Here is a 13,237-nt window from a genome sequence, read left to right on the forward strand (position 1 = left end):
TGCTACCTTCTCTCTAGTATCTACATGCTACTTACTGGGAGCTACAGTTGCTAAGTAGTATCAAATGTGAGGAGAGAAGAAATGAGGATAATTCAGTAACTACTGGCCAATTACCATTTTAAAGCAAAAGTCAAGAAAGCCTTTTAACAGCTGGCATTATTGGACAAGTGAACAATGGACAATGACACTATTTAAACTCTTTCATCATGGATTTTATTCATACAGAAACTGGATGATATATTACTAATGCAGGAGCAATTCCTATATCAGATGGGAGGATGGTATATGAATTCTTTGGGCCCTTTCAGAGGCTAAGAGTCTAAAAAATAACATATTTAATCAACTCAGCTACCTAAATATTGTTTCGATAAATATTTCACTAAATTTCTTACATGCGATAATTTGCATACTATCAGACTTCATTAATTAACAAAATACATAGCTGTGCTTAGGAAAACAAGCTTTAAAAACTCATAGCCAAAAGTGGCATAGGTATGTTCAAAATAAAGTTGTTTTTAACTTAGTCTTACAATTCCTTCCTTTTAAAATAGGTAAATTAATTAAAAAGGTGCTTTACATAGGCAAGATAAAGCAGGTCTATTTTTTAAATTGTAAATAAATTACTTTGATAGAGCTAAGGTAATATACTGGTTTGAACTACAGTATTTGCCATCTAAAGTCCAAAAGCTACTTTTTCTGGAAATACTTCCAATTCACTTTTAGTTCAATTAGGACAAGGAGTCAGTGAAGATAGCTTCTCTACTTCCTTCACTGTCAGGTAACTCATATAGCACTCATTCACATCAAAAGATACCTTTAACAGATCATGTTCCCCAACATTTGCTGCATATGTCCATGTAAGTTTTCTGGTACCAGTAGGATCTGCCCAGGCAAAAAGTCGAGCCTGTCTTGGCAGCAAGACCATTTCTTCTGGTGACCCACTAAAACACAATGAACAGAGAGAAAATCAGAATATCTTGGAGATAAGAAACCCAAACCTGTAGTTTACTGAGGAAGGGATTAGCACAGAAGTCCTACGAAATTGCTGTGGTTAATAAAACACAACTCTACCTAAAAACAAGTACCCTAAAATATCTAATAAACTCATGGTTTTTAAGCTCGGGGAAACAGAATATTGCCCTTTCTGAAGCTTCAATGCACTCGGAATTGATCCAAGTGGAATCATAGCAATGGAATTCATTAGGTAAACAGATTGCCAGATCAGGGTCCACCTGTGGAAATGGCTGTGAAGAGGAAATATGTTTAGTAGCAGAAGAACTTCTATTCAGTGCTTAAATTTAAACATATTTTTTAAAGACAGGGTCTCCCTGTTTCCCAGGCTGGAATGCAGTGTTCATTCACAGGCAAGATCATATTGCACTACAGCCTCAAACTCCTGGGCTCATGAGATGCTCCTACCCAAGCCTCTCAAGTAGCTGTGACTATAGGTATGCATTACTGTGACCAGCTAAGCTTTTTAACAAATACAATACTTAAGATATATTATGGGTCACAGCAACAAAAAAATTATGTTCACACTGTTACTACACAAAGTGTGGTCCGTAAACAGGCAGAATAAGTATTACCTGGGGTCTTGCAGGAAAAGGCAAAGTCCTGGGTCCCATCCAAAACCTACTGAGTCAAAATCTGCATCTTAACAAGACTCCCAGGAGATTTTAAAATTGATTATTACAATTTAAGAAGTATTTGTCCATTTAATGCAAAAAATATTCCAGAGAACTGGGAGAAAAAAAGTAATCCAACTAGGTTTTAATCCTAATCTGTACTTTTAAGTCTCTCACTGGATTCACTCCATTAGAATTAAGACTAGGGAAATCTTTAACAAATTTACATATATACATACATTTATATGTGTGTATATATGCATGAATATATACACATATATACATATGTTAATATAAATATAATTTTATAAATAAAATTATACGATACTTTAAGGGCTTAAATTCTCTACCATTAAATAATGACATCATCCAAAACAAATGACAGCAAAGGCAAGAACAATGAAATTCCTATCAGCCAATGATATACATTCAACACCACTATCTACTCATCGTCTTCTCATTTAACCTTCTACTATCCCTACCCAAAAAAACTAAATACAGATTTATAGGAAGAGGTTCACTGAGCGTTACCAGATTACCAGGAAAGGGAATACTTAAACAGGTTCACTCCCTTATCTGCCATTTTGAAATTTAAAAAGCTCTAAAAGCCCAAAGATTTTTCTGGAAATTTGGTATCAAAACTCATTTGGCGGCAAAACCTGACCTGAATTGATACGAAACTATTAATAATTTCTATTTATCCCATTTGATGTGAATATTCATCAGTTTTGCTGCAGAAATATTAATGTGTTTACAGAGTGTTATCTCAAAACATGTAAGGGTATTAAAGATAAATACCATGTGTTCCATATCACCTTTCTAAAATCTAAAAACATTTTGAATATGAAACCAAAGTGTTTCCCATTAGTTACTATGAACCAATAAAAGTATTTCCCATTAACCCTTTTTTCTCATACCTCTGTTTGTATGTGAGGATGTCCCATGGTGTATGGTTCATTATCAAGGCAGGTGCAGATCCCTCATGGTAATCAGAAAAAGTTATGACAGTTGAATGTTCGGCAGTGTTTACATCCACCAAGATACCCCCATTCTATTGTAGAAAAAAAAAAAGTATGTTTGATGTACTGGTTTAATCTACACTTACATATGGAATTTCAATATTACGTAAAACACAAAAGCTTTGGTTTTTTTCGAGACAGAGTCTTGCTGTCACCCAGGCTGGAGTACAGTGGCGCCATCTCGGGTTACTGCAACCTCCATCTCCCAGGTTCAACCAATTCTCCTGCCCCAGCCTTCCGAATAGCTGGGATTACAGGCATGTGCCACCATGCCCAGCTAATTTTTGTACTTTTTAATAGAGATGGGGTTTCACCATATTGGCCAGGCTGGTCTCGAACTCCTGACCTAGTGATCAGCCCGCCTCGGCCTCCCAAAGTGCTGGGATTACAGGCGTGAGCCTCTGCACCCGGCCTGTTTCCTTAAGTTCTTACTAAAAAGCAAACTGGCTCTGATCTGTTATAAATATATGTTGGCATTATATATTGATATAGCAGCACCTTCAAATAATTACCAGTAAATTTTGATAGCATGGTTTACTGAAATATCTCAAAGCAAATTTTAAAAATCAAAGACATTTTATTTTAAAATATGAAAACTTCATCTATGTCCCTACAAAGGACATGAACTCATCATTTTTTATGGCTGCATAGTATTCCATGGTGTATATGTGCCACATTTTCTTAATCCAGTCTATCATTGTTGCACATTTGAGTTGGTTCCAAGTCTTTGCTATTGTGAATAGCGCCGCTGGAAACCATCATTCTCAGCAAACTATGGCAAGGACAAAAAACCAAACACTGCATGTTCTCACTCATAGGTGGGAATTGAACAATGAGAACACTTGGACACAGGAAGGGGAACATCACACACTGGGGCCTGTTGTGGGGTGGGGGGAGGGGGGAGGAATAGCATTAAGAGATATACCTAATGTAAATAACAAGTTAATGGGTGCAGCACACCAACATGGCACATGTATACATATGTAACAAACCTGCACGTTCTGCACATGTACCCTAGAACTTAAAGTATAATAAAAAATTAAATAAATAAAAATAAAAATAAAATAAAATATGAAAACTTACCAGATCTTCTAAGCTCAATAAAGTGCCATTATCCTGTCGGTTATAAAAGAATGGTTTGGAAGATCCTTCACAGCCCACCACTCTCACACAAAGTTTGCCTGACAAACTTTCTGGCCAAAATGGAAGGCACTAAAAATATAGAAGTTATTATCAGTCTTAAGACAATACCGTTATATAATAAATAAGACATTACCTAATTAAATTTTCAATTCTGATTCTGATCTTGATTAAATTATTATGAAGTTTCTAAAAATATGTCCTCTACATCTCATAGTAAGATTACTGACAATATAATGACCATGAAACCAAAGAAATCACATCAGGAGAATACAGATATATTAGTCTATATGTATTTATGGTATAATTGCAATATGAGAAACTGAGGAGCCTGTTGATTAAGAATTATAAAATTCATTTTAATTATTGAAAAATTATATTTAAAAATTATCATTTGCTTTTGTGTATACCCATTTTAATTCATTAATACATGATGAATTCTTTCACAGAGTATCTTAATCATAGATAAACCAGAAAGACAACTGAAGGCAGAGGAGAGAACACCACAGACCTTGCTGGAAGTTCTGACACCATCCTCCTAGTTGTTTGATATCAGACCATATACTTACTTCTTTGAGCCTCAGTTTTATTTATAAAACTGAAGATTTCATTCCTAATACAAAATGTGCTTCTGTTATAGAATACTAAGTAAATTCTATTTCTGAATAAAAAATACTACTATAATCAAACCCACACAAAGATTAAAAAAAAATAAGCACTTACTTGTTGCTGAGTTTATGGAGATCATTCTAAGTGCCTTGAACAGACCAGCTCTTAGGGCTCTAACTTTATTTATATTGTAATTGGAATCCTTCCTTTTGAGTCTTTTGCCAAATATTTCTTAAGTAACTTTAGAATCTTTCTTTAAACAGCAGAAAGTGACCTTCAACTATCCTGAGAGTCAGCTGGTTTGGTTGAAAATTCAGTCAAGATCAAGCACCAGTGCTTATCTTTGCACCTGTCCTCTTCTGGCACACATTCCCCCATTTGCTTCACCTCCTCTAATCTTACTGAGCATGAACAGCTTAGTTCAAATCCCACCTCTTCTGTGAAACTTTTATCTTTTGATCTATAACACCATGATTTCAACTACCAATGACTTTATCAATCTTGGAAAAGTCTGAAACTCAGTTTCCTTTTCAGTAAAGTGAGAGGGCAGAATTTTAGCTAATTTTCAAAGAAATTTCCAGCTCACCTATTCAGAAATTCTATAACCACCTATAACTTAGGATGTGCTATCTCTCCACATGCAGACTTTTATGACTCTTTTAAGATAATAGCTTCTTGAATATAGAGACATTATCTTGACTATGGAGACACCACACAGTACATAATCTCTATGTACTTTTTACAGTACATAGCTACGTTCTACACATATAGGAAGAATTAGAAAAAAGACTATTAATGATCTAGACTGGGCTAGTGTATTATCAAAACTTTTCTCCTTTTTTTAAAAATATAGTAAGAGAAAAATCTTTCAAAGCTGGCTGTCATATTTCAACACATAAATATGATAGTCTGAAAAAGAGGTATATACAATTCTTATTTAGATGTCAATATTTATTTGTATATTTTAGGAATCAGTTGTAACAAAGAAAAATGCTACCTCTGAAGAAGCAATATAGTTCCATTTATTAGTTGGCATTGAGCCATCAGATGCAATCTCGCCAACTTCTAGTTCTAATGATGACTTGTTTGCAATGGTACAAAAGGGAGTCAGGGTAACTATTCGTGAAAGGTTGAAACTGCTCATTTTGATGCTAACACCAACCTGTGGAAAGGAAAAAAGCTTATTTTCCAGTTTATTCAATGTCTTTGAAATATATACACATCCCCTCATTCACACACAAACTTCTTACAATATTTTAAAATAATAATTCTTAAATAAAGCAACTATAAGTTACATTCTGCAAAAGATTATCTTCTGAGAAAAAAATTATAGTTCCTTAGTTTGGCTCCATCAGAAACAATTCAAGAAATATCAATTAGTAATTTAACTAACGACTTACAATGACAGATTTAATACGTCTAGCATTCTTTACTTTTTAAAATTCCAAACATAAATTGCTTTATAATTAGTGTACAGGCTTTGTTATCTGCTATTAGTAAAATAAAAATTTTGAAGTAGTAATAAAATAGGTTAATTGGCATCATATTATTCAAATTTTCATACTAGTCAAATTTAAGATTTAAGAAATGTCTGGCAAGGGGTGGTACAGAATAAGGATTCTAGCATACTGTGAATATTTACCAAGTTGCTCAACTGGATGGATTAAACTCAATGTCCTAAACTTAGACAAATTCAGGTTTTGCTCTGGTATCAGTGACCATAAAAATTTGTAGTGATAACAGCCCTCCACATTATCACTTGAAATTCAAATTTCGGTACACTTTAGGAGCCAACTTGTTTTTTTTTTTTTAATTATACTTTAAGTTTTAGGGTACATGTGCACAATGTGCAGGTTAGTTACATATGTATACATGTACCATGCTGGTGTGCTGCACCCATTAACTGGTCACTTAGCATTAGGTATATCTCCTAATGCTATCCCTCCCCCCTCCCCCCACCCCAAAACAGTCCCCAGAGTGTGATGTTCCCCTTCCTGTGTCCATGTGTTCTCATTGTTCAATTCCTACCTATGAGTGAGAACATGCGGTGTTTGGTTTTTTGTCCTTGCGATAGTACACATGAAAAAATGCTCACCATCACCGGCCATCAGAGAAATGCAAATCAAAACCACAATGAGATACCATCTCACACCAGTTAGAATGGCGATCATTAAAAAGTCAGGAAACAACAGGTGCTGGAGAGGATGTGGAGAAATAGGAACACTTTTACACTGTTGGTGGGACTGTAAACTAGTTCAACCATTGTGGAAGTCAGTGTGGCGATTCCTCAGGGATCTAGAACTAGAAATACCATTTGACCCAGCCATCCCATTACTGGGTATATACCCAAAGGACTATAAATCATGCTGCTATAAAGACACATGCACACATATGTTTATTCCAACTTGTTTGTTGAACTGTAGCAAAGGTGAACGGAATCAAAGGTAAATAAGGAAGCAGAATCTTACCAGGTACTCCATATTGTTGGCAGGACACTTCACACACCCATAACTTCCCACTGTATCCAATGAGAAACTACTGGACCAGGCACTGGTTGAAATTTTTAATTGTACCTATACCAGAGAGCACATATCGTCATATAAGAAATCTAAAACACTATAATAATTTTATTTGAGAGAAAGTTGCTGGACTACTAGAAATTTCTTTAGTACCGTGGGACACAGAAATATATAATCAAAGCCATATTGCAAACAGGTAACAGAACCACAAAAAACTCTAGGGAACAACAAAACAAAAACTTCCTGAGAAAGTTTGAATGAGAAAGTTCTGACTTTCTCATTCACCTATGCAATGAGTATAGTAAATCTAGATACCAATGAGATTATGTATTGTTTTTAAAAAGAATTATAATGCAAAACGATGTTTTCCAGTGATAGACTTATGACATAGAGCTAACAAATTTTTAAAGTCTTAGCATAAAGAGAATTTATGTCTTCAACATTGTTCAGCAGACACTACATTAAAGACATTGTGACAGGCAGAATGGAAGACAGCAGGACACAGTTCCTGTCTTCGATGAGCTTCCAACTAGACAGAGAGATTAGGAAATACATACGAAAAATTATGATACAAGACTCAATGGGATAAGAACCATACAAGAGGCAAAAAATGCTATAGAGGTGAGAGGATAAATAGTTTACTTCTGGTTCTGGGATTTAGATAAAGTTTTATAGAAGAGATCAAATTGTGCCCTTGTATTAATCTCACCTTCACCCACCCAATTAGTTTGTAAAAAACTTGAGGACAACTAGAGGTCAGACACATATACAAGCAATTACAATACCATGTGTTAATCAACACTCAAAGAGAGTGGAGTTGCCAAAGCATCACCTGTTGGAAATGCAAATTCTCAAACCATACCCAGACCTACTGAATCAAACTCTACAGACAGGACCCAGCCATCAGTGTTTAAAACCCTTCAGGTGCCATGCGTGGTGGCTCACACCTGTAATCCCAGCATTTTGAGAGGCCGAGGCTGGCAGATCACCTAAGGTCAGGAGTTCGAGACCAGACTGGCCAACATGGTGAAATCCCATCTCTACTAAAAATACAAAAATTAGCACTGTGTGGCGGCAGGCACCTGTAATCCTAGCTACTTGGGAGGTTGAGGCAGGAGAATCGCTTGAACCCGGGAGGCGGAGGTTGCAGTGAGCCAAGACCACACCACTGCACTCCAGCCTGGGCAACAAGAACAAAACTATGTTTCTTTTTTTTGAGATGGGGTCTCACTCTATCGCCCAGGCTGGAGTGCAATGGTGCAGTGCAGAGCTGACTGCAACCTCTGCCTCCCGGGTTCAAGTGATTCTCCTGCCTCAGCCACCCGAGTAGCTGAGATTACAGGCATCTGCCACCACGCCCAGCTAATTTTTGTATTTTTAGTAGAGACGGGGTTTCACCAGGTTGGCCAGGCTGGTCTCAAACTCCTGACCTCAGGTGATCCACCAGCCTCAGCCTCGCAAAGTGCTGGCTGGGATTTACAGGCATAAGCCACCGAGCCTGGCCAAAACTCTGCCTTAAAAAAAAAAAAAAAAAAAAAAAAAAAAAAACCTTTAGGTGTTTCTAATAATGTACACTGAAATTTGAGAACCACTACTCCTGTACAAACACGGATGGGATGTCTAGGCCCATTTTAAATGGTTAGAAAATCTTCATATATATCAGGCTTGAGCAGAATGCCAAAGGATGAACAGCAGATATCAGGAACGATGAAGAAGACAGAAAAAAAACAGGGGAAGAGGCACTGTAGGCAAAGGGTGCAGCATATACAAAAGCCTAGAGGTGAGTCCTTGGGGAAATGTGTGGTGAGGGATACCAAAATGTGAGCCTGAAGAGGAAAGAAGAGACCAGAGCATAAAGGATGAGGCTTAGGCATTAGGTTTCTCTCCCAAAGGCCTGCCTGAGTGCTTCACACATAGGAAGGCTCAACTAATATATGCCAAATTCAATGGTTACATCTTTAGAAATGCCATTTCATCACTGGTAAAGTACATAAATTCAAGCTATTCTATCTACTATACTACTACTACTACTACTACTACTTCAAGAACAGAGGTAACTCTATAGGCATTGGAGAAAAGGGCAACTCATAGTCTCAGGAAACCTATTAGTTCCTAACATCCCACTTGATTACGCTTAAGTCTCCTTGAACCTAATTCACACCAATGGCATTTAGCAAATAGGTTAGCATGGTTTTAGGGAAGACAAATGACTCCCAAGTTTCTAGATTAGGAATTTATCTGCTTTAACTTATTATGTGAACAAAACCACACCTTATTTTTAGTAAAAATGTTCTTCTTCTTGAAAGAAAATAAAATAATATCCCTGAAATCAGCTGGATGTTTCACATGAATATCTTCTGAACGATACTGGAGAACCCGGGTAGTCTTGTTGATTAACCAATAGGGACTAAAGACAGACAGCACCATCCGGCTGCCAATTCTCCTGACGTGGACTGACAGGTCGACTGTCGTCACTTCTGTGGAGTCAGAAGAAAAACACACAGGAAAGAATTCTGGTAGTGTATCACGTATGCGGAAATGTCCATTCCAGTTTTTGCCCTGGTATTTCACCAGGACTAATTCCATTATTTCACCACTGATTCTCGAATGCAGAACATCAGCAGTACTGCCTTCTGCCAGCTCATGAGTTTCTGCTGTTCCCTAAAAACAAACAAAAATTCGCTGAGTAACTTTTTAAAAACTCTGAAATAACAAAATTCTTATTTTTCACAAATGCTAAATAAACTACCAGATGCATGTAAACTGCTAAGTCTTCTGTGAAGTACCATGCTTACATATTACAAATGTCCAGTACTCACCAAGGACTAAAAAGAAAACGCTACACCATAGCCACAGGCAGAAACTGACTTTGGCCATTAGGAGGCTAATAGCCATCAGTTTTGTGAAAAAATCAGGTCTATATCAAGAGTCAAAGACTAGATTCAGGAAGCCTGGCTGTTGTCCATTAGAGCTATGTCATTAAATGAGCCACTTAACTGCCTGGCCTTCAGTTTTATCCTCTAATTATAGACCATGACTAATGGTTCCCATATGAATGGAATAAGAAAATTATTCTTATTTACTAGTCAGAGTAAAAAGTTACTCTGACGAGTTATCTAAGTAAGGTGGCATTATTTGAAAAATGAATAATAACATATAAACCATGTTTCCTTACTAAAAATCTCCTTACATAAATACTATTTAATTCTTATAAAATACTCATATAAATACTATTTAATTCATTTAATTAATTTTTGTCTCCACAACTCAGGAATGGCTCATTGTCAGATAAAAAAACATGTAGGTTCCAAACACTTTCCAGATTTTCATATTTTAAAATATACTGCCATACAGAAATTTTAAAATATTTATCATATACCATTACTAGAAAATCTTTATTACTTCTTAAGACAGACAGTAATTATTTTTTTTATTTTCCAAGGTTTATTTTCAATAGAACCTTGAAGAAACAATCATAATATTGACTTTAAAATAAAAACTTTAAGATGAAATATTTTCTCATTTTTTCCTATCTTTTAGTTAATGGAATTTTACTTAATTAATAAACAGACGATCATGCTTCTTAATTTAAGGAAGATACAGTAAAGAGGCAGGGATCAAAAAGCCAAACTGCCTAGGTTCAAATCCCAGCTCCACCACTTCCTAGCTATGGGACCTTGAGCCAGTCACTTAACCCATTTTCAACTCAGTTTTCTTATGTGTAAAATGGGCCTGATAATAGTACCTACATCAGGAGGTTATTATAAAGAGTAAATAGGCTAATACATGTAAAGCACACAGAGCAGTTCCTGGCACATAGTAAATGTTATGCCAGTTTTTGCTATCATTAACATTATGAAGGCATTACACATTACACATACGCTATATAAAACACTGACCTCACTTAAAAATACCATAAAACAAAATCAGAATTTACTCTGTGCAACAACAAAAATCAAACAAAATGCAAGAGACATACCTCAAGTAAATATCTTAGGGAATATGGGAGAAGATTCCGCAAAGTGAGAGAAGGATAAAGATGAATAATGTAAGCTACATCCCAGTCTTCCCCATGTGTACATATGTAGCTCAATTCATCAGGCAGAGCAACTGTATTCACTATGAGAGGTAAGAAGCTGACTTCTACTGATGGACACTGCAACATGCATCTGACTTCCCTGCTCCTATGAAGTTCTTCCTTCCAGGAAATATAAGTGGTAGATTCTTTGTACTGATGCTCTAAGATTCCAGCTGGCTGGATAAACAATTGACATCTGCAGAAAGAGGAAACAGTGACAATAAAGTTTTGATCCACAACTTAAAAAAAAGCATCTCATTAAATCTTCCTGACAACTCTACAAGATAGGTGCTATTATTCCTGTTTTTACAGATATACAGATGAGGAAACCAGGGCTAAAAAAAAGGTTAGGAAATTCACCCAAAATCACATAGCTAACTTACGGAGGACTTTCTGAAAAGAACAAACAAACAAAAAACAACTCTGTAAACAAGACAACTTAAAAAAATTTTCATTTCAAATACAAAGGCAATCTAATAAAAATAGTCAGAAAAATCCTGACATCAAATATACAGTCAGGAATTTTCACCTGATAAATTCAATGATAATATAAATGTATTTCTCAATGGAAGACTAAATTATGTCTTAAAACTGGCTTTTACTGATCTTTAGTTAATAAAAATATGAAGTTATTTGCCAGAATATAAATCCCCAACTCAATACATTTAAAGTTTAATACATTTAAGAAGTATCTACCTATATGAATCTAAAGGAACATGGAACTCCTCTTCAGGTCTGGCTATCCCAATGCGCTCCAATAGCTTAACATTCTTAACAAATTTATAGATGATAAATGCAATGGAGAAATGGTTTTTGATCTGTTGGACAAAAAAAAATACAAGTTTTTTAAAAGATATGTAAGTTCGAAAGAAAAAATGAGAGCCACAAACAAATACTTTTAGATCTAAAAAATTTCAAACTCAGTATTGGAAGATATTTTTATTGGCAATTGAAAAATTTTAGGGTATTTAAGTGCTATATATATTAAATTTAATGTTTAAGTGTCAGTTGAAAACTGAGATATTCAAATGCTCCATATATTATAAGCTTATGTTTAGTATTAGTCTATATTATCTTTCAAATATGTATTATTCTCTGAAGATTTAAGCCATTTTTTCTCCATGACAATCTTTTCTCAATGTATCATGTATAACAACTAAACAGAAATGGATAGCAAAAAATCATGAGAAAAATAGTACAATTCTTTTCTTGACATCAGTCTGTTACGCATTGGAGCAAATAACAAACTATAAGATAACAATGTCCAAAATTTGAAACCTTTTCATTTGTATCTGATGTTACAGGTAGGAAAAAAAATGTTCTTTTGTTGACCATATGCTGAAACCTGTAGTAATACACAGAAAAAGAAAAATGTTGGATAAAACCTTAAAAGTAGAAAAAATATTTACACAGATTAAGATGCTAAAATGTTTTTCAGAGGGATAGATCATTCCAATATGCCTTCATACATATCTTGAAAAATATAATCCAAGTGACATACAAAGAGAATGGAATGTTTCCTAACTACAATTACAATAATCCTCGGTTCTGAATATTTAAAGGAATATACCAAAAGAGCTTTATTAATTTTGCATTTGTCTTAAAAGACAGAAAACAAAAATGAGCTTTAAGTAAACAAAACTACAGACATTTAAAATAAATATTATCAGAGCAAGCTGGACAGTAAATAGAAGCCATTTCTGTTACTATTTATTTCTGAATAATTACTATTTATTTCTGAATAATCAGAATTGACCTGATGAAGTTTTACTGTATTCCTATATTCAGCTAAATGATTTAACCATTTCTTGGTACACTGAAAGGGATACAATTAACTTTGAAGTATTACCTGTAGAGGAGAGCGAAGGGTAATTACTTTATTCCCTTCAGTTGCATCAATTTGTACCAAGACAGAGTCAGAATGACTGGCATTGGGATTCCGTACATTATACAATCGCCGTCCAGGTCTGGCCACAGGGATATTTGCAACTTCTGTATATCCATGAGGTACTAAGGCAGTGCATAAGTGAAAAGAATTCCAAATATTAATTTGCCAATGTTTCTCTATAACAATCATTAGTACCTCAAAATAATGAAGAGTATTTTTCCTCATCACTAGAAATGATCACCACAAATTGCTTTTCTAAGACATAAACTTAAAAAGAAGACCAGTTACTGTTATAAAATTTTTGGCTGAAAACAGTTTTGCTTGGGGTTTTGAATATAAAAACAAAATCCAACTTATTT

General features: G+C 35.1%; 1 protein-coding gene across 9 annotated transcripts in view; it reads right to left on the bottom strand.

The window, feature by feature from the left end:
* The window catches only part of VPS13C (vacuolar protein sorting 13 homolog C), a 208,059-nt gene that overhangs the window by 54,061 nt on the left and 140,761 nt on the right, over positions 1–13,237 (bottom strand). For 7 of the 9 annotated variants that reach the window (XR_007064464.1, NM_017684.5, NM_020821.3 and 4 more), the window contains 9 exons: positions 12,840–13,000; positions 11,687–11,808; positions 10,892–11,186; positions 9,184–9,573; positions 6,862–6,966; positions 5,391–5,555; positions 3,728–3,856; positions 2,543–2,676; positions 815–941 (listed from right to left, as the gene is read on the bottom strand). Coding sequence is in view for 8 of the 9 variants with exons in the window: in NM_017684.5 (NP_060154.3) it covers positions 815–941; positions 2,543–2,676; positions 3,728–3,856; positions 5,391–5,555; positions 6,862–6,966; positions 9,184–9,573; positions 10,892–11,186; positions 11,687–11,808; positions 12,840–13,000 (1,628 nt within the window). In the remaining variant the exon portion in view is untranslated. Of the gene's footprint in view, positions 1–814; positions 942–2,542; positions 2,677–3,727; positions 3,857–5,390; positions 5,556–6,861; positions 6,967–9,183; positions 9,574–10,891; positions 11,187–11,686; positions 11,809–11,914; positions 12,336–12,839; positions 13,001–13,237 lie in introns of those variants that run through there. The other 2 variants (XM_047432742.1, XM_011521714.3) reach the window with 1 other exon arrangement.

The sequence above is a fragment of the Homo sapiens genome, chromosome 15, assembly GCF_000001405.40.
Source record: "Homo sapiens chromosome 15, GRCh38.p14 Primary Assembly".
Classification (NCBI taxonomy): domain Eukaryota; kingdom Metazoa; phylum Chordata; class Mammalia; order Primates; family Hominidae; genus Homo; species Homo sapiens.